This window comes from Homo sapiens, chromosome 1, assembly GCF_000001405.40.
Source record: "Homo sapiens chromosome 1, GRCh38.p14 Primary Assembly".
In the NCBI taxonomy this organism is placed as follows: Eukaryota; Metazoa; Chordata; class Mammalia; order Primates; family Hominidae; genus Homo; species Homo sapiens.
Window position 1 is genome coordinate 50,457,519 of NC_000001.11, and position 22,566 is coordinate 50,480,084.

The 22,566-nt window shown below is 38.9% G+C and overlaps 1 protein-coding gene and 1 long non-coding RNA gene across 10 annotated transcripts in view, besides 1 other annotated feature; one reads left to right on the forward strand and one right to left on the reverse strand.

Moving 5' to 3' along the window:
- The window catches only part of FAF1-AS1 (FAF1 antisense RNA 1), a 29,669-nt gene extending 16,031 nt beyond the window's left edge, over positions 1-13,638 (forward strand). For 2 of the 5 annotated variants that reach the window (XR_007066079.1, XR_007066077.1), the window contains exons 2-4: positions 11,920-12,026; positions 13,216-13,371; positions 13,543-13,638. This is a non-coding gene — a long non-coding RNA (FAF1 antisense RNA 1). Of the gene's footprint in view, positions 1-1,454; positions 4,796-6,447; positions 6,521-11,919; positions 12,027-13,215; positions 13,372-13,542 lie in introns of those variants that run through there. The other 3 variants (XR_001737633.3, XR_001737632.3, XR_007066078.1) reach the window with 3 other exon arrangements.
- Positions 1-22,566, reverse strand: part of FAF1 (Fas associated factor 1) — a 523,240-nt gene that overhangs the window by 20,491 nt on the left and 480,183 nt on the right. For all 5 annotated transcript variants that reach the window (NM_007051.3, XM_047442745.1, XM_047442743.1 and 2 more), the window contains one exon: positions 17,946-18,161. In NM_007051.3, coding sequence (NP_008982.1) covers positions 17,946-18,161 — 216 coding nt within the window. The remainder of the gene's footprint in view (positions 1-17,945; positions 18,162-22,566) is intronic.
- Positions 16,085-16,285: a silencer, noted in NCBI's record as "peak214 fragment used in MPRA reporter construct". NCBI's record gives its function as "represses an SCP1 promoter by STARR-seq MPRAs in K562 erythroleukemia cells {active_cell/tissue: K562}" and the evidence as "EXISTENCE:reporter gene assay evidence [ECO:0000049][PMID:32103011]".

Here is a 22,566-nt window from a genome sequence, read left to right on the forward strand (position 1 = left end):
AGCACAGAACTAACAATTTTTAATTTATGGCTGGATAAAATCAGATTAGATTGTATGTACAGCCTTCAAAAGCTTATTTGATTTCTTGGTCAGGTGTGGTGGCTCATGCCTGTAATCCCAGCACTTTGGGAGTCTGAGGCAGGCAGACTGCTTGAGGTCAGGAGTTTGAGACCAGCCTGGGCAATTCGGTGAAACCCCATCTCTGCAAAAAAAAAAAAAAAAAAAAAATACAAAAATTATCCAGGCATGGTGGTGTGCACTTATAGTCCCAGCTACTGGGGAGGTTGAGGCTGCTGTGATCACACCACTGTACTCCAGCCTGGGTGACAGAGTAAGACCCTGTCTCCAAAAAAAAAAAAAAAAAAAGGTAAAAGTTTATTTGGGGAAGGGTAAATAATTTTGAAAAGGTTATCGACCGGGCGCGGTGGCTCACACCTTTAATCCCAGCACTTTGGGAGGCTGAGGTGGGTGGATCATCTGAGGTCGGGAGTTCAAAACCAGCTTGACCAACATGGAGAAACCCCATCTCTACTAAAAATACAAAATTAGCCAGGCATGGTGGTGCATGCCTGTAATCCCAGCTACTTGGGAGACTGCGGCAGGAGAATTGCTTAAACCTGGGAGGCAGAGGTTGCAGTGAGCTGAGATTGAGCCATTGCACTCCAGCCTGGGCAACAAGGGTGAAACTCTGTCTCAAAATAGTAATAATAATTTTGAAAAGGTTTAAGTATATCAATATACATAAACAGTAATAGTCACTCCATTTTATGTTCAGCATAGTATGGGGAAAGGACCTGGGTTTTGAGAATCAAATATTGATATTGACACTTACTGGACAATATTGAGAAATTTAAACTCTTTGAGCTTCAGTGTTCTTATTTGTAAAATGGAGACAATATCTATCTTTCAGGGAACTAATACCTGGCATACAATAGGCACAAAAAGAAATAGCTATATTCATTGTCATCGCTCCCCACCATTCCAAGTCCTCTGTAAATAAGTTAGAAAGCGGTAAGGGCAAAATTTTTAAGGCTCTGAATTCTACGCAGCTCATCTGAAATGGCTGTAATAACCTCAAACACATTTAAAAAATTCCTTTGTGCACTTCTTTCATCTGGTCAGACGCATACAATGATGGGTTTTCTCATAAAATGCCACTGGTTCCCTCAATATGTCTGTGGTTTAGCAACTGTTTCCTCTTTTTGCCATCAATTTCATCATAATAGCTTAGAAATGCTGAGCATTTACTATGCTAGTGCTTTATGTGTAACACTTCATTTCATTTTTACAACAGCTCTATGAATTTCGTACTATCATTATCCTTATCCTACAGCGAGGAAACTGAGCTACCTAGAGGCTAAGTAATTTACACAAGATCAAACACCTAGGAAATGGTAAAAATGAGATTTAGTCTGGGACTCCAGAACTCAGTCTCCCCTGCCCTGCCCTTTTTTTTTTCTTTTTTTTTTTTGAGACAGAGTCTTGTTCTGTCACCCAGGCTGGAGTGCAATGGCACTATCATGGCTGACTACAGCCTCAACCTTCCAGGCTCAAGTGTTCCTCCTGTTTCGGCCTCCTGAGTAGGTGGGACTACAGGCATGTGCCACCACACCTGGCTAATTTTTTTTTATTTTTAGTAGAGACGATGTATTGCTACATTGCTCAGGCTGGTCTCAAACTCTTGAGCTCAAGTAATCCTCCCACCTTGGCCTTCTAAAGTGCTGGGATTACAGGTATGAGCCACCATGCCTGGCCCAGAACTCAGTCTTTTAACTACTACCCAATAAAGTCTCTCTATGGCTTATCTTCAAATCTGCTCCAGTCACTGCCAGGGGCATTTTCTGGTGTTGAGCCATCCTCACAGTTTAAATCTCTATTCTCTGCTAGAAAGTACCACCTAGACTTTCTCCTGGTCCCTCAGACTCAACAAATCCCAAAGTGAACCTGCCTCTCCATTTATCTTCCTTGATTTTTGCTTATGGTACTATACCATCTTTTTAGTTGTTCAGGCTGGAGACCTCTAAGTCACCTCTGAAAACTTCCTATCCTCCCGCAACCTTGACACAGCCAATTATTAAATCCCACTGATCCTTCCTTCTTCCTGATTCTGTTGTCTTCTCTTCATCCCAAATTGTTGCCATCTTAGTACTGTCTCCCACAGCCTGTTTAATTTTCTAGTGCAATAGTCATATCTGGTCTCCCTTTTCCAGGCTTTCACTACTTTAATCCTTCCTAATCAGAATAATCAACAGTGTTGAGAAGTGGGGAAAAGGCAGAAATGTAGAATCAAAAGACCTAGGTGAAGCCACTGCTCTGCAACTTAGCTAGGTCAATTTGTATAAGCCGCTTGGCAGCTCTAAGTTCAATCTTTCATTTTTAACATAGGGCCTAATACCTACCAACAAACTAGCATTATAAATGGTTTTATGAGGGCAAGAATTCTGTCCTCAATTAGTGGACGTATAGTAGTAAAGAATTCTGTGGAGCACTATGCATAGAATATACTCATTTTTCCATGTATAGTTCTTCATAGAAGTATTCACTACCATGTCCCAAATGTATTGTGCATAACAGGTGCTCAAAAATATCTGTTGGATTAATGCGTAGAAAACTCTTCCATATTTTTTCATCTCTTATTTTATTTCCCTTTATACCTGACCTCATAGCCTAAATTCCAATCACAGAAAACTGTATGCAATTCCCCAAACATATCATACTGATTTATATTTCTATGATTTTGTTCACATTTCTGCTGCTTGGCAAATGCCCATTCCTTTCTTTCTGTTTTCAAAATGTCTTTTTTTGCAGTATATTTAGTGTCATGTTTTTCACATTTGTGTGCTTTTTGTTAGTGATTTTCCTGTTTAAAATGGTTCCCAATCATAGTGCTGAAGTGCTGTCTAGTGTTCCTAAGTAAAGGAGGGCTGTGATGTGCCTTGTGGAGAAAAATATGTGTGTTAGATAAGCTTCATTCAGGCACGAGTTTTAGGACTATTAGCTATGAATTCAATGTTAATGAACCAACAGTATATATTAATGTGTCTTTACATATATGCATGTATGTGTGTGTGTATGTATATATATGTGTGTGTGTGTGTGTGTGTGTTTGTGTATATACACACACTTTTTTTTTGAGGCAGGGCCTGGCTCTCTAGCCCAGGCTGGAGTGTAGTGGTGCGATCACAGCTTAATGTAGCCTCAACCTCCCAGACTGAAGTGATCCTCCCACCTCACTCTCAAGTATCTGGAACTACAGGATGCACCACCATGCCCAGCTAAGTATTTGTATATGTGTGTGTGTGTGTGTGTGTGTGTGCAGAGAAAGGGTCTCACTATGTTGCTCAGGCAGGTCTCAAATTCCTGGGCTCAAGCCTTCCTTCTGTCTTGGCCTCCCAAAGTGCTAGGATTACTGGTGTGAGCCACAGCACGTGGCCTAAGTAAAGTGCCTCTAAATAGAAACACACATAACATATATAACAAAGTTATGTACCGAGTGGTTGATGAAAATGTGACGAGAGGCTCACAAGAACTTAACCCTGTATTTCCCCTAGGAACAGTGGTTGAGTATCCACTAATTCAGTGTTTGTGGCAACATTATACAATATAACTACTGTGAATAATGGGAATCAACTGTATTTCCCAGTTCTAAAACCAATAGCTCCCCACAGCCTATAGAATAATATTCTAATTTCTTAACCTCAGGTGTATTATTACAGTCTGCACCACTGATAGAGGACTTTTTATTCAGCCAAATCTGTGTATTTTTCATGTTGTATCTAGCTTGGCAGTATGTGCCTCAAGTCTGCCAGGATGATCTTCTCCTGTCGTATCTGCCCTGCCACACTTGGTTGGCCCTTATAGACAAGACTGTGTTGTAATTATCATCACACCCTTCAAAGTGTATACCTGTCATTCTTCATCTATCTATCCATCTACCTACCCACAACTCAGCGAGCCTCTACTTTGTGCTAGACCTGTGTAAGTACTGTGCCAGAAACTGAGGGTACAAAGGCAAATAAGACAGTATAGCTGCTGCCCTAAATGAACTTATACAGAGCAATTCCCAGAGGGCCCTGACATAAATGAGGTAAAAAATCTCTATGAGGAAATACGCCTGTCTCTCACACTAGGAAAAACACCATAAAGTAACTCAGGAATATTTCCAATTATGAAAGAAATCTGCTGGTTTGGTAAAACAGAAGACAAATGTTAAACTCTAGATATTTCTAATTGAACACCACTCTCAATCTTTTGTTATTAGGCATGTAAGGCACATTGTTTGATATCTTTACTTGAAAACTGGTAGTTTCCAAACAGTTGATATTGGACAAAGATTCTTTGTCTTCTTGAAACCAAAACACTGAAAAAAAAAAAGAAAAAAAAAAGAGGAAGGAGGGAATGGGGTTGGGGAGAAAAATAATCACCATTACCATCACACCAGCTATACTATTAGATTCTTACCCTGTGTTAATTTTATATATATTATATACATTATATATATTTTATATATTATATTATATATTAATACCAATATATAACATATCAATATTTTATATATATATATACACACACACATATATATAAAAACTTGGGAGGTTGTGCCTGGTTTCTCCTGGACTTTGCCCATGTACCTTTTCTCCTTGCTGATTCTGCTTTGTATCCTTTTGCTCTAGGAACTCATAGCCCTGAGCATAATTATATGCTGAGTCCTACGAATCTTCCTAGGAAATCACATATATATGAATGAAACATTTTATATCGATTTTTAAATGCTCACTACATGCCTCTGAAGCAGGTATTGCTACTTCCATTTTACCAAGAAATTAAGTAACCTAAGATCACTCAGTGAAGAGTTGATCCATTTGACTCCACAACCTGTGTGTTTTCTTGATTCAGTCTACAATGCCTATGAAATGTGACTGAGGAGAGGTAATATTAAATAAATCATCCTTACAGTGTTGATCTGTATTTGTTTATAGTAACAAGCAAGAAAAATAAATATCAACAACTCCTCCCCTTTTTAAAGTAGCCAATTTGAAGAAAGTATTCTCCCTAGGCAGTGTGGGAAAGTGGCTGCAGGCTCAAGGACAACCGTAGGGGTTCGGAGCAGACCATTATAGAATCTGGGGCAAATTTGCATTGAACACGCTGATACTCTACAAACTAGGTGATGGCTATCTCTAGGGATTGTGCTTCCCTCATGATGTCTTGAAAATCTCCTTTGAAAATACAGGTTGATTGGTGCTTGTTAGGATTCTTCTGAGACTACTTTTATACCCTTTGCTACAGGACTAAGTTATGTTCGAAGGTGGGAAGTTTCCCTGTTTATAGAGGTCCCCTTACATATCTAGCAGTAAACTCCAGAAGTGAATTTGAGACATGAATATCTTAAAAAACAAAGTTATATATTCAGAGAAAGGTTAACACAGCAGGACTGCTACTGTTTGAGAGGCCTGCTTACAAGGTTGGCAACTAGAAACTTGGGTTTGAGAAGGGTTACCATTATTCCCAGAACTGATAAGAGTAGCTCATTATGCCTAAACTGTTTGTGCAAACAATATAGTTTATGATGAACACTTGCTTTCCTTCTGGGAGTCTGGCATTTTGGTATATGTCTGGCAGAGTATACCTATGTGTTCAGCACCCAATAAAAGCCCTGGGCAGAGTCCCTATAAGCTTCCTTGGTTGGCAACATTTCACATGTGTTGTCTCAAATCACTGCTGGAGGTAATTAAACACGTCCTGTATGATTCCATCGAGAGGACCCTTGGAAGGTTGTGCCTGGTTTCCCCTGGACTTTGCCCATGTACCTTTTTTCTTCAATAATTTTGCTTTGTATCCTTTTGCTGTAACAACTCATAACCACAAGTGTGATTATATGCTGAGTCCTGTGAGTCTTCCCAGGAAATCACTGAACTTAGAGATAGTCTTGGGGACCCCCAACACATTATATGAAAATGTTTTCTGTTTAGGGTAAAGAGCATAGACTTTGGAGGTTAGAATCCCAATTATCTCAGTTACTATGTGTGTGGTGCTGGAAATAGCACTTAATATCTCTTAGCCCCAGTTGTCTAACCTGTAAAATAGGACTACTATCTATGCTTTAGGGTTGAATGAAAATTAAATGACAGAATACTTTCTGAAATGTCTGCACAAGGTCTGGCGTGGAACAGAACATTAGTAATTGTTAATTCCTCTGTCTAACTGAAAGCTGGAAAAGGCTGTAAAAACTGAAGAGGTCCTGAAATCAGCCATAAAAATTTCAAAGAAAACTTTCACATCGGAGATCCACCACCTCTTGGAAGGCTCAGGCCCAACTGTTCTTAAAACTAGGCAGAAAATTCTACCAACAAAAGTCACTCAAAACTTCTTGGATGTTTGGTCACATTTCCATGTAACCCTAGCTGAGAGGATTTTGCTTTGTGGAAAAAAGTAATGTTGAGAGAAGACAGAATATGCTTCCTTAGAGGAAAGTAGGAGTGAAAGTGAGATGGTGTGATGTCATCCTATACACCCAGAGGTAGGTCTAGTTGGTGAGCTGTGCTATTCTTTCCCAGCACAAGGTCTACACATCTTAAAGCCTCACATGTCTTGAATGTACCATGTGCCATGTCTGTGTCCTCACATTACCTCACTTAATTCTTTATTTTTAAATTTTTATTTTTTATAGAGATGGGGGTGTCTCTCTATGTTGCCCAGGCTGGTCTTGAACTCCTGGGCCCAAGCGATCCTCCTGCCCTGGCCTCTCAAAGAGTTGAGATTATAGGTGTGAGCCACTGCACCTGGCCTTCACTTAATTCTTATATCCAGCGCAAAGGTGGTTATTATTATCTGCCTTTTACAGGTGAAAGAACCAGTTTAGTGTGGTTATGTGACTTGCCCAAGGCCCCCCTAATAGTTGGTTCTTTGTGTTATATCATCATGCTGTCTCCCTGTCATTGCCAAGACTCAGAACACATTTTTACTGCATTTTACTAAGGGGAATGCAATAAACAGTGGACTTTCTTCCAAGGAAGAGTCTGTTATAATGCAACTGGCAAAGTGCAAGTCACTGTCATATTAAGAATGAAGAATGTGTCTAAAAACTTATTTTTTAAAAGGCCAGAGACAGGTCAAAAGTAGTGAATTTTGGGACATGGATTAAAGAAGTTTAGCCATTACCAACTCAAATGGCATGGCCCTCTGCCAGTTACCAAGTATTTTCATTATCACTTTTGATCTTATCATCACAATTTATCTGTGAGGACACATGACATTATCCTCACTTGAAAGATGAAGTAGCTGAAATACAGAAAAGAGAAATGATGTACTCAGAGTACCTCAGCTAACAGGTGGAAGTGCCAGCATTAGAACAAAGATCTGTCTGACTCCAAGTATACAGAGGACAGGAGAATCTATGGGCCATTTACCAAATACTTAGTCTAGGCATTGGTAACCTTTACATCCAATCATCTCTCCAATCTTCCCCTGCCTGGTGGTATTTCTATCATCTCATTTTAAAGACTACAACACCCTTAATTATTCTTCTGGCTTTGGTCTTCATTCCATGTTAATTCATCTTTCCAGGTTAACAGTGAGATATAACAGAAAGAATCACTACCGTCACATTTAAGTGCCAGCTCTGCCACTGCTTGGCTACGTGATCTTGGTTAAAACACTTAATTTGCAGTTTCAGTTTTGAAGCTATAAAATGGAGATAATATCTGCCTGGTATAAAAGGTTTTGGACATGAGTTTGAAATCTGCTTCTTTGAGCTTTTGATTTCTTAACTGTAAAGTAAGGATACTCCAATCTCATAGGGTTGTTGTAAGAATTCAATTACATGATACCTGTAAAGTTCCTAGCACTTTAACATATAATGGGAACATACAAGGGGAACTCAATAAGTAGAAGAGAGCATTATTATTATTTCACAGGCTGTTTGTTAATTTGCATCATTCATTCATTCATTCAACAGGTATTTACTGAGCGTCAGTTAGGTTTCAGGTACTGTCCTAGGTGCCAGGAATGTATTAGTTAACAAATAAAGTTCTTGCCCTCTAAGAACTTTTATTCTAGTAGCAGGGAGACAGTAAACAACTATATACCTATTATGTCAGATAGTGAACAGTTCAGTGGAGAAAAAGAGAGCAGGATAAGAGGAATAGGGGTTGTCAGTCTGGCAGGGTGGGGAAGGTAGGGCAGAGAGGGCAGGGAAGGAAGACTATTATTTTATATGGGTTGGTCAGCAAAGGCCTCAATAAAAAGGCAGTATTTGAGCAGCTACCTGAAGGAAGTGAGAGCATGAGCACTATCTAGAGGAAGACTATTTCAGTAGAAGAAAGTGCAAATGCAAGGCCCTGAAGTAGGAACATGTTTCATGGTGTTGTACAAATAGCAAAGATGCCAAGGTAAATGGAAATGACTGAGTGGGAGAGGGGTCAGAGAAATGCCAGCAAGTTAGATCGAGAAAGGCCTTTCACTCTGAACTGATGGGGAGCTATTACAGGGTTCGAAAAGAGAAGTGACGTGATTTGCCTTATTAAAAAAAAATCGCTGTCTTTTTTGAAAACAAGATTGAAGGGGATCACAGATGGAGGCAGAGGCCAGTAGGATATCATTATAATAATTTGAATAAGAGATTATAGTGGCTTCGGCTAGGGTTCAGTTGTAGAGGTAGTGAGAAGTAGATTCTGGGTATACTTTGAAAGTAAAACCAACAGATTTTGCTTATGAGTTGGAGAAAGGAGAGAAAGAGGAGTCAAGGATAACAGTAAGGTTTCTTGCCTGAACAAAAAGAATGAAGCTGCCATTTAATCAGATAAGGAAGACTATGGGAGGAGCAGGTTTTTAGGGGACAGTAGGAATCAGGAATTAAGTTCTGACTGTTTCATGTGAGACGCCTACTGGATGCAAAGTGGAGATACTGAGTAGATCGTTGTATGTAGAAATGTTTGGAGTTGAGGAGAGAATTTAGACTGGATATATATATTTGTGAGTTGTAACTGTGTATATCACATTTATTGCCACAAGACTGGATGAGAGCGCTTAGATAATGCCAGTATAAAGAGATCAAAGGACTGACATTTATTGAGCACCTGCTATGTGCCAGGTAATGTAAATCTGTAAATTATGGAATAATGTATGGGTAGTTATTCTTACTGTAATGATAATAATGGATGACTACATCATTCTGTAACTCAACAAATTTTATGTGGAATAAAGCCAAGCTCCTTCGCCTGGTATTCCAGTTTTATATATCCTGTCCCCAAACCCCCTTCAGCCTTTTCTCAGGACTTTATTAGACAAAGCCCCCTCATTTCAGCCAGTCTGGTCTACACTCTACCATATAGACATGGCTTTGTGCTTTTCAACATTAGACCTTTTTCCTCAAGCTGCCCTAGCTGGTGGAGAATGTTCTCCTCATAACAATCTACCAAAAAATCCTATCTATCTCAGTTTTGTTCAACTGCTATCTCTTTTACACAATCTCTCTTGGTTACCCACGCCAGCAGGGATCTATTGCCCCTTTTGCTTGACTATTCTTTGGACCCACTGCATGAACTGCAGTATGAGGACTGTTTGTATGAGAGGCTGAAATATTCTTAAATGTGGGACCATGACTTATTCCTTGGCACTAAGCAGAGTGGCTGGCAAAATAAAACTGTATTGGATAAACAGGGTGTGAAATACAACTAAGAGTATATTTTACCAGCATCTGGCAGTGACCCAGAAATAGGAATTATAAGGTGAGATGAATAAATCAGAGATGATGAAATCTTTCCAAATATGTAACACTGAGCTTCATTTACACATTGAAAGTATTTTTCTTTTTGGGACGGGGTCTCACTCTGTTACCAGGCTGGAGTGCAGTGGCGCAATCTCGGCTCACTGCAACCTCTGTCTCCTGGGTTCAAGTGATTCTCCTGCCTCAGCCTCCCGAGTAGCTGGGACCACAGGCATGTGCCACCATGCCTGGCTAATTTTTTGTATTTTTAGTAGAGGCGGGGTTTCACCATGTTAGCCAGGACGGTCTCGATCTCCTGACCTCGTGATCTGCCCTCCTCGGCATCCCAAAGTGCTGGAATTACAGACATGAGCCACCATGCTCAGCCTTGAAAGTATTTTTCTAGATGATAATCCACCTGACTGATTTATTTCTTATTTGGCTCAGGAAGCATGATGGCATAAGGATTAAGAACACAGGCTCCGCAGTCATATACCTAAGGTTTATATCTAGTTTTGATATTTACTATGACACTGGGCAAGTTACCTAACCTCTTTTGTGCCTCAGTTTCCCTATTCCAAAGCAGGGATTGAGTATTTTAAACGTTCTCACCTTTTAAAAAAAGCAGGTGAGGTGACAGATGTGCTAATTAGCTTGATTTACTCTTTCTACAATGAATACATATATCAAAATATCACATTGCACCAGGCACAGTGGCTCATGCCTGTAATCCTAGCACTTTGGATAGCCAAAGTAGGCAGATCATCTGAGCCCAGGAGTTCGAGACTAGTCTGGGCAACATGGCAAAATCCCATTTCTATAAAAAATACAAAAATTAGTTGGGTGTGGTGTCATGCACCTGTGGTCCCAGCTACTCGGGAGGGTGAGGTGGGAGGATCACTTGAGCACAGGAGGCTGGGGCTGCAGTGAGCTATAATTGTGTCACTGCACTCCAGCCTGTATGACAGAGTGAGACTCTGTCTCAAACAACAACAACAACAACAACAAAACTGCATCACATTGTACCCCATAACAATATAAAATTATTATATGACAATTAAAATTTTATTTGTATGTATTTTTTTTGAGACAGAGTCTTGCTCTGTCTCCCAGGCTAGAGTCCAGTGGTAGGATCTTGGCTCACTGCAACCTCCGCCTCCCAGGTTCAAGCAATTCTCGTGCCTCAGCCTCCCAAGTAGATGGGATTACAGGTGCACGCCACTACACTTGGCTAATTTTTTTTTTTTTTTTTTGAGATGGAGTCTCACTCTGTCGCCCAGGCTGGAGTACAGTGGTGCAATCTCAGCTCACTGCAACCTCCGCCCTCCAAGTTCAAGTGATTCTCCTGCCTCAGCCTCCCAAGTAGCTGGGATTACAGGCGCCTGCCACCGCGCCTGGCTAATTTTTTGTATTTTTAGTAGAGATGGGATTTCACCATCTTGGCCAGGCTGGTGTTGAACTCCTGACCTCGTGATCCACCCACCTTGGCCTCCCAAAGTGCTGGGATTACAGGTGTGAGCCACCACGCCCGGCCTAATTTTTGTATTTTTTAGTAGAGGCAGGGTTTCATCATGTAGGCCAGGCTGGTCTTGAACTCCTGACCTCAAGTGATCTGTCTGCCTCAGACTTCCAAAGTGTTGGGATTACAGGCATGAGCCACTGCGCCTGGCCAACAATTAAAATTTAAAAAATTTAAAACTTACAATTTAGAAAATAAATTTCTTAAACAAAATGAATAACCTAAAGAAATATAAACTGCCCTTGCTAGTATTTTTCCCTTTAATTAGGTTGCTGTTGTGTCAGATTAGAGTTTCATATATAGACCTATTTAAGCAGCAGCTGTATTATTCTTTTAAACCTTTTGCTATTTACTTTTTTTTGAATGTTGTAAATATTATGTAAACAGTTTTTATCAAATGACTTCTACCTAAAAATTCAGGTGTCCTGTCAAATAATCCAGGACCAGTTTTCTTTACAACAAAACTTTTGAAAATAAGCCAATCAAGAGGCCTGGGCTGCAGTCCTCAGTGGTCATTAATTAATTGAATGTACACTCTCAAGCAAGTAATTTCATGTCAAGACCTCATGTTCCCCATCTGCTGAATGATATTAACACCACACCTGTCTTGGTATCCCCCAAAGCTGACAGAAGAGGAGTGGGATAATTCTGTGAATGTATTTTGTACCTTAGTGAGGTCTCTTGTTTCTTTCAGTCAAGCAGTTTATTGTGGTTTAATGATGAGATGCATGTGCTGAGGAGGTAATCAGAAGAAGTGAGAAAAGGAGACGGTGTGAAATTTTGAAGATTTTATATGCCATGGTAAGGAGTTTGGACTTTTTCTGCAGGCCATTAGAACCCACTGGAGGCTTTTAAGCAGGAGAGAGACAGAGATCATCAAAGCCGTTTAAAAAAATCACTCAAGAGACAGTGGGGAGCATAGACGTGGGGAGGCAAAACTGGAGGCAGGGAGATGAATTAGGAAGCCATAGGTTTAATTTGGGCTATGACGACTTGGGCAGTGGTATAGAGGGAAAGAGAAGAAAAGAACAGATTTGAGAGAAGTTTAGAGGCAAAATTAATGTTGCGACCATCTAGATACTAGTTGTGTTCCATTACACAATCATAGTTCTTTTTATCTGAATCTTGATTATTTAGGGATACTGAAAAATTTCAAATAACCAGATATAGTGACATAAAATAACTGAGGGGAATGGAACAAGCTCAGCAGTAGTACCTTTAACATGTATTTCACCAATTAGATGCTTCATCTTGGCTTATTTTGAGAACAAAGCTTTTAAGATACAGTCATTCAATTGCATTAAAGTTTTTCCTTCTGGCTCTTGTTTTTTAAAAAAATAAAACTTAGTCTAATATAAATTGAAAATCAATCCCACTGCAATATTAGAGGTATTACCATAGGAAGGTTTTTGTAGTACAAAATATTTTAAAATACTGGTGCTTGCAGCTGCAATTTATTGCATTTACTAGGTGGTCTCTAATGTTGATTTTTCTAGTTCTATGACTCTAATTTTAAAATGGAACTCTATAATTTATTAACAGTTTTTAAAAGGACTCAATAATCTCAAAAAGCAATGGTCATAAGAAAACTTGGATGTCAGTATCAGCTCTGCTTTTATAATTGTTCAAGTGACTTAAGTGCTTAATTTTACCTCCCTTGATTCTCCCACCAGTAAAGTGGCAGCATTGGCCTTCATATCTCTGAGATCCTTTGCAAATATCAGATATTAAGATTTCAATGATATATTCTTAAGCCTGGGTTACAGCTAGATATTTGTAACTCAAATTTGATATCCATCACTGTTCTAGAGAAAGAATTCACTGCTGCCACATTTTCTTTAACTGTAAGCCCTTCCTACCTCTTCTGCTTCTCTCTATTTAGTATTATTACAGCAGATACTGTTTTATGTGCTATGAATATAGTAATTTATATTCACTTAATATAACGCTTACCACAACCCTGTCAGATATTATCATTTCTCTTTCAAAGATGCAGAAATAAAAGTTCAGCAGGGTCAAGTAAGTTGTCCAATGTTCAGTATGATGGAGTGGGATTCACATGCAAGACTAACTACCACTGAACCATTTACTTCTGACTTTGCTATTCTGCTTCCACTCACTGAACATCTCTCTGAGCAAGGCTCAGGTAAAATTAACTTCCTTTATAATACTTTCCGTTATCACAGCCTGCTGAAATTACTTATCCTTCTAACTGTGGGTATAATTTGCAATGCAATTTGTTTTGGATGTGTGTTTTTACTATAACGTGAACTCTTCAAGGTCAGTAACAATTTTTTTAAAATTTCTGTATCACCAGCACCTGGTATGAAGGCTGAAACAAGAGCGGTTGCACAGCAAATGTTTTGCTATAATGAGAGAATACATGAATTAAATGCGAATTAAACTGCTTCTATCTCCTTATGGTGGCAAATAGTATCCATGTGTTATCGATGAAGTCAAGTCAAACTTCATCTAGATGTAGCTTCTGGATTCAGACTGTAAATTCTACAAGGGTGAGATCTATGCCATTGTTTTTCTTCACTGTGTTTGCAGTGTTTAGCTTGGTGCTTAGCATAATAAAAGTGGATGGGTGACAGAGGAAGGAATTTGTATACCCCAAATTTGAAAGGCTTTTCCCCCAGTACATTTAAACAAAACTTTACTGAAGGTCTACTCTAGGAAAACCATGCTGGAGCTTGATTATACTCATTCTCCTGTTCCTTTAAGTCTTAGAGGGAGAAACAAAAATTATGAGTTATAGTTACAGAGATAAAAACCTAGAAAGCTGGGGCAAAATATAAATTCCCTCATTACTTTGTTTTAGATATAAAATATAAGAAAACAGTTTATTCCTGAATGCATGTCTGTCTGTTTGGGGATTCATATCTATAGATCTAGAAAAAGGCACGTTCCCTAGGCTAGAACAGGGGCTGTGTCATTATATCAGTGGCAATACATATGGGCTATCAGTGGACTCTTAGAGTTCATCTGCCATTCCTCATCCTCCTTTCCTAGTGCTTTCCAGTCATTTTATAAATTGAAAGATCTCACTTTCCAATTGTAGACAGAGCTCCTCTGAGGGATGTGGATATGGGTAGGCAAAAAATGGAAAAAGAGTAGGCAGAAAGAAGAGTTGTGGGATAAAGAAATAAGGAGAAGGGAAGAATGGAAAGATGGAGGAGAAGATAAAACAGGTAAAATAGGATTGGAAAAAAGGGAAGGGGTAGAAAAGGAAAGAGGAGAGAAAACGGAAGATAAGGAAGTGGCACAGAGGAGGAAGGCTGGGGGATACTGACAACCTCTTACCAAGTGGCATGAGTGATAATCAGCTTTTCTGGGAAGGGCCTATGTTTGGGCTACCGTAGGTCTGGAGGGGAGCTGGGGGAGCTGGCAGCAATCCCTTACTCTAACTCAGAGACAGGAGTTGGCCTATAGGAGGAGTAGTGGGGTGAGTGTCATTACTCAGCTTTTAGGACTCAACTACCTCATTTCCAAGGCAATGCCCAAGTAAGGCAAATGGGCCACTGATGTACATACGGCTCTAACATGTCCAGGAGGTAGAGCTCTGGAAATAAATACTATTCCTTCTCTTAGTAACTGTTATTAGCAAAATTGGGGAAAACATACACACACACACACACACACACACACACACACACACACACACACACACACACACAAACCCCAAAACCAAGTAACTCAATGCTTCCACAACTTGAATCAGTTTTCTGGGGAAGGCCTATGTCTGCGGCTATTTTGGTTGTCCTACAGTGCTCAGTTCAGGGAATTATGCTCAGCAGACATTTAGTAAATGGTTAGACAGCTCGGAAATCTTAACATGAAGTATTGTTTTGGTTGGGGGCGGGTGGCAGGCATGGGAGGTACAGAAGAACACTTACCAGGTCCTCTGCTGAGAAACCAGTCTCTGCTTTGTGGAGAAAAGGCTGAAGACACAATTAAGACTCCTAGAGTTAAGGCTTATATTATTTGTTATTAAAGAGGCAAGGCCTTAAGATGTGCTTTTTAACAGTCTTTAGTTTGGCTGTAATTTAAGATGACTTTTACAAATTAGATCCTAATCCTTGCAGACACAGATGGCTGTTACAGAATAGCCTTGCAAAAACACTAGTCATTTGACTTGAAAGAGAATTCAGAGAAGAATGAAGGGCCTTTAACTCTCACCCCACCCCTGGCTCTAGGAGGCCTAAAGAGTCCTGGGTGGGCTTTCTTAGTTTAGGTCTGGAATCTGGGTGGGCCTAGAGCATCTGTTCTCATTTGGACCAGCCTCTGTTCATTCTGGAACCAGAGATTAGGGGAGCCTGAGGTTATTAACATTCAACAACAGTTACTGATGCTTATATATGAAGCACTATGCTGGCAACCACAGGGAGATAGTAGCAGGCCCAAGAACACTCTACATTTCACATCACATTTCCCCAGTTTCCTTTCAACAGCAACTTTCCACAGTCCAGAGTTTTACCCTGTGGAAAGAGGTTCTTAATAATGATCAAAAAGCCTAGCTCCTTTTAAGATATTTTCACCCCATCCCTGTCAGTAATAAGCTTTAAAAATTAATTTGAAAGAAAATAAAGTTTAATTTTAAAATGCAAAGTCCTTAAACTCTATTTCTTTCAGTACTTCCATTTTTAAAGATGAGACCCGTTCAGAAAGGGAGTGACTTAAAACTAAGGGTTGGGAAGGGCAAACTTAGCTCCTAAGTTTTTTAAGTTCTCTGAGGTGAGATTTTCATCACAGAACATAAAGTATGAGAACAAGGCTGATCTTGAACACTTTGATAATGGTTCTTTGTTAAATGTTCACACACTGAGAGTTCAACTTCAGTGACAGAAGTTAAGGTAGTTTTCATACTTGGCTGTGTGGTAAGAACATATGCAGGCATGTGTTCCCTTGTGCATGTTTGTGTGCCTTATATACAAATAAAGGGGATGACCTTGGAGCAGTAGGCAGGGCCAGTGAGAAAAGGAACAATAGTCAGCACCTGGGATCCACTACAGTCTCCTGGGCTTAGAAATAAGTGGCAAGATCCTCATTCCACCCAGAGGGGATATTACTAGTTTCTGTCTCTATCCTGCAAACCTGACAGCCAATGTGAGGGACTTAGATGTACCTTAATGAAACTCTGGGTTTTGGTATGCTAGGTTACTATACCTAGATCACAATGGAATCACAGAAGATTTATTGTATATTTCAGAGCTAAGCAAGTCCAAGTCCCATTCCATATAAAGCAGGAATACCAGAGATGAATCCCTCTCCATATATATATCTGTTATTACTGAAAAGAGTAGTATTTGGTAATCTCCAATGATAGGAAAATTAACACTTCACGACACAAGATATTCCTTTCTTAGAAAATGCTTTGTTACACTATGCCAAATTTGTCTCGTGTAACTTTCAACTCATTGGTCCCAGTTCTGCCCCTGCAGCCTCAAAAAATCAGATCCCTCTTTTACAAGGCACGCCTTCAAGTAGCTGAAGACAACAATCACATCTCTCATGGTCCTTCCTTCTTTAGAGGTAATGTTCCTTAAATGACATGATTTCCAGCTCCCTCACCTTCCTACCAGCCCTGCTCCAGACATGCTCCTATTTCTTCAGGCTTCGTTTTTCAGCATGAAGCCTAAAGACTATTTCAGGGGTAGTTTGTTTTTTTTTTAAATTTTTTATTTCCATGGGTTTTTGGGGAACAGGTATTTGGTTACATGAGTAAGTTCTTTAGTGGTGATTTGTGAGATTTTGGTGTACCCATCACCCAGTGGGTAGTTTATCTTAGTGCAGAGTTAAACAGGACCATTAAGTTAATCTCTGGTTGGGATTACACCTCTAAAACAGGAGCTAGCTTTTTTGTTGGCAGCCACAACGCGTTATTAACGTGTATTCAGCTTAATTCGACCATAACCTCTACTAAAGGAATCTATTTCTACACATTTCTGTGAAATTTCTGCAGCTTCATTTTGTGTAAGTTTCAGTATTTTAAGTTTTTCTTGAATCTTATTTTTCATAATCTATAAATCTGATAAAGTCTTCATTTAGGTTGCCAACAAATATGGTAAGTAATAAAAGATTAAATACAGAGCCTCTTGGTTCCCTACAAGGAAATGGTGGTTAACATTTTTTGGACACAACCATTTAATCAGCAATGAATCTAACACATCTATATCTCTCTACTTTGCCCCAGAATACTATGAGAGACTATCAAATATTGTGCTGTAATGCAAGCACACAGTGAATACAGGTCACCCTCTGTAACTTCCCAGGGTAGTAAGACTATCAAATCACAAAACACTGTTTGTTTTGCATGACTCATTCTTAGTGAACCTACATTCATTGACCCTGATATCTAACTGTTAAGCTGTTAAACATACAATTCTCAGGTATATTCTGAGGGCTACAGATATATCTCATTTGAGGAATACAGATGAGACATCAGCAAAGACTGGAATGCTGGAATAGGGAAAACAGCTAGGAAGGAAGATCTAGTACCTAATTTCTTACATAGGCTACTGGGTACATATCTGCTGGCCTGGGAAGCCATACTTTCTCCAAAAGCTAAGGAGAGAATGGTGTGCAGAACAAAGAAGGACTCCTGTTTGTCTTGTAGTTGCCTGCACCATGGGACTTTTCTTGAACTACTTTGTTCAGCTTTAATGATGGCACATCTCCCACCTGGATATACTTCCTGAGATAGGTATGGGAACTTACGTCTCTCCTAGGAAAGGTGCTCAGTAACTTGTACTCATCCCATGGAAATCCTTTGGAAGCTACAAAATCAAAGACAATCTGGAGCTTGTTGCTGGCCAGGAAACGCCGCTCCAAGAACTCGCCACTGGGGGTCCGGATCCGCAGTTTGCTCACAGGCTCAGCATTTTCTTCCTTTGGCTCAGGAGGCAGGGCTTGCTCTAAGGACAGCCGGATGGCCTAGGGAGAGCAAAAACCAGGTGTTAAAATGTGAGAAGGACTGGACTATGGAGAGTGGGGAGGAAGACACCAGAAAAAAAGCTGCTGTTTTCTAGAAATTCATTGAAAAGTCACTGCCCTATTTATTAGCCAAGCCAAATGCTTGAACAATAGAATAATGTATTTTTCATTTTCTTAATATTAGTCCAATAGGCAAGTAATTAAAATAAATTCCACCTTGATGACACATATTATTAAATATATAGGAAACTACACAGAAAAGGCATTTTTTTAACTGAAGGGCTCAGATATTTGTGATCAAAGACATTCATATCAAATACCCAATTGATACCTTTCTAGGGTATGAATTAAAGCTATTAGATGCATTCAGAAAAGACACACACAAACAGAGATATATTTATATTTGAGAAATACAAGTAGAAGTAACTGCAGAATACTGGATTATTATGTTTATGTCAAAATGGAATGAGGAAATTCTGTTTAGGGTGATGAAACATTTTGGAAATAGTGGTGGTGGTTGGACAATACTGTGAATATAATCAATGCCACTGAATTGTATACTTAAGAATGGCAAGTTACTGTATATATATTTTGCCACAATAAAAGAAAAGTTTTAAAAAATGGAAAGAACTTCAAATATCAGGTTTATTGGCAGAAGGAGACCACAGTCCTAGTTCTGGCTTTGCCACTAACTCGCTATGGGATTTGGCCAAATCTTAGTGGTTGATTTCTGGACCTACAGATGGACCAAACCCTTCATTTGACTTAAGCAGGTGAAGCAAACTGTTGGAAGGTCTCATGGCTAGCGTGGGCTTGAATCCAGGTTTTAGTATTACATTGTTTCACATGTGACATTCCATTAGAAGGAGATTGTCTCTGAGGTCCCTAACAACATTGGAATCTATAAAAATCACTAAAACCTTTTTTGTCTAGAACCCTGAGAAAGACTTCATGTTAGAATCCATGAAATTCATCTAAAGCAGTGCTCTGATGAAATTCACAGCCTTAACATTCGTATGCCATTATAAATTAAAGAATAAAAATAAGTGAATTAAGAATTAGATTTTAAAAGCTAAATTATCAGTGTCTGGTAATAAAAAAATTTAAAAGCTAGTGAAAAAAAACCAATAAAATAAGTGGAAGGAAAGCTGAGAATAACAGTATAAAGAAATAATTTAGAAAAAAAAGAAATATATAACTAGTCAGCTTATAAGCTGGTTCTTTGGAGGTAATAAACTTACACAAATAAAAAGAAACAAAAATGGTAACCTACAGAGGGTAGGGGAAACAAGGTGGAAGAGGTGACATCTGGTGTTTTCTGCATATGCCTTTCTATTTTGACCTATGCAAATTATCTGTTAAAAAATGTTTAACCAACAGAAAAAGTTTGCTCAGACACAAGTATGGATAAGAAATTAGGTAATGTGTGTCACGCAGGTGAATTTGGTTGGTTCTAATACTGAACTATTTTTTTTAAATCATTCAAAATTTCTGCAATGTATAGACAAAGCTAGTCTAGCCTATGACTGAGGTTACTTTCCTTCTGGAGGCACTGAATAACCACCTACCTTATAGGGGATTACAGAGATGGGAATTATATAGACCATATATATATAAAATTTTCAGTATGGCATCTGACACATAATAGGCTTCAGTGATAGCTGCTTTTCTTATAATGAAGAGATCTGCACAGAATATCAGATCTGGAAGGGGCTGCATTTGTCAAACAGCCCAATACTCTCATTTTTTATATGGGGAAATTGATGCCCAGAAATGGAGACATAAGAAATACAGTTAAAAATATATTTTTGCTTTTTTTTCAGTCACTTTTGCCCTTTTTTCTGATAGCATGAGTAGCAGTTTACCTGATATTGGTGTTCTGCGACAGCAATGAGTTTCAGCTGAGTATTTCCAAATATTAAACTATTTTAGTAACATTATCATATATTAGTAACCCAGTGAATGGATTAACATCTGTGTATATCAAAATTAAATGCTAGTTGATATGTCAATTACAGCATTCACTATTTAGTACCATAGTTATTTATTTAATGCCTGGCCTTCTTACTAGCCTGCAAGCTCCATAATGGCATGGGAGCATGTATTACTTCTCATTCCAAATACAGTGCATAGCACAAAGTAGATGCTCAATATGCACTTGGAAGGGAAGGAATAAACTAACATGCTAACTGAAATAATATATGTAAAAGTGCTTAGTATGATTGTAGGCACGTACTAGGTGTTCAATAAATGCTAGAAGAATATGAATCTCATAGCCTCTACTTCTAGTAACTAAGAATTAAACATCTTCTCCTTTCTCTGAGGTATGACTCCTCCTTGCACTAACTGTTCAGATTAATTTTCCACATGTGTCCCTTAAAGGGAAACCATGAGTTGCTTGTAAGTATAAACCTCTGTGGATTAGAGTTATATACATTTTCTAAACTGTTAATGGGATCATCTATTTCTCAGTTACAGTGGTGGTTCTTTTTTTTTTTTTTTGAGATGGAGTTTCACTCTGTCGCCCAGGCTGGAGTGTGATGGCGCAATCTCGGCTCTCTGCAACCTCCGTCTCCCAGGTTCAAGCGATTCTCCCACCTCAGCCTCCCGAGTAGCTGGGATTACAGGTGCGTGCCAGCACACCTGGCTAATTTTTGTATTTTAGTAGAGATGGGGCTTTGCCATGTTGGCCAGGCTGGTCTCAAACTCCTGACCTCAAGTGATCCATCCACCTAGGTCTCCCAAAGTGCTGGGATTACAGGTGTGAACCACTGCGCCTGGCCACAATGGTGGTTCTTTACAACCATATCTTTTGAGATTATAAAACATTTTTCCCAATTACAAAAGTAATATAAATTCATTGAAAAAACAGATTAAAAGTAAAACATTAAAACTAATCTGTAGATTCACCATCAAGATAGCCATCACCATCAGTTTATATCCACTAATTTTTAAAATATTTTAACCATTGTTAAATGTACAATTCAGTAGCATTAAGTAAATTCACAATGTTGTACAACCATCACTACTATTTATTTCCAAAACTTTTTCATCACCCAGATACTCTTCCTTAATTTTTCAGGCATATTTTATATATTTGAAACTTTTTTCAAAATTTGAGTCAGTGTTGTATTGTATAAAGCTTTATCCTTTCTGTTCAAAATCATGTATTTTGTAATTGTTTTAAAGTTTTTATTAAAGTATAACATACATATGAAAAAGTGCACAAATCTTAAGTGTACAACTTGATAAAGTTTCAAAGTCAACATATCTGTAAAACTACAACTCTGATCAAGTATCTCAGAAGCATACCCTTTCCTGGGAACTACCTCCCCTCAAAGTCAGTATTCTGACTTCTGACAGTGCAGTTTAAAAAATTTTAATTAAATGCAATGTTATGATTAGAAACATAGGTTTTGGGGTATGACAGACATGCGTTCAAATCCTGGGAATTAGGCAAATGACAGTCTTTATGAATTTCAGTTTCCTCATAGGAATAGAGCCGATAACATCTTCCTCACAGCATCCTTCTATAAGATGCAGAATGTTTTTAGGTGGGCCGCCACACCACACTGCTCTACCTTCCTCTCTGGATCACGCCAGCTGCCTAGTCAGTTCTGATGAGAGAACCTGAATACTTGGTTGCTGGTGCAGGATTCACATGCTAATTATGGTTCTTTTTGATGGGAGACTCTGCTTCTAATCGGCCATCTTGGCGCTGTCCCTGACGCCACTTAGCAAATGCTGACACTTGGTCAGCACTCAGTGACAAGTGCTGAGCATTGATCCTCATGCTATATGTAATACTGTGATCAACATATGACAGCTGTTGGTGTTATCATTTTTGTTATGATTATTCCTTTTCGCCTACTTTAAATCAGAACTTAATGTGATATTTCTTGGTTTTCTCTCCTTTTCTCCCTTTAATCCACCTGTCTGCTTGCTTTCTGTTTTGACATTTCCCTGCATAGTATAACAGATGCTACATTATTGTCTGAATTCAACCAATTATATTACAGAAGAATAAACAACAGTAGCTCGTTACTTCATTCATTATACAGACAATGTCTGCTCCTCAATGTATACAGTCTCCAGGGCTTTTCCCCAGAAAGAAAACAGACCTCATACATCCCACACCAATGGACCAATGTGGAAAACAATGAAGAGATACGAGGTAAATCAGCAACCTTGAGATTTGAATATCCAACAGTTCTACTGCCAAAAAAATAACAAAAATACATCAGTAGTTCAGTTTCAAACATACTGGCTAAGAGCAAGGGCCTCCTGTAAGCAAACACTGTTGTAAAACAACAACATAAAGGACACCTACACTCAAACGAGTCATGGTTAACACCAGTGTTAAACTTCAGTTTGATTTGCTCAACAAATATAGTTTATTTGCATT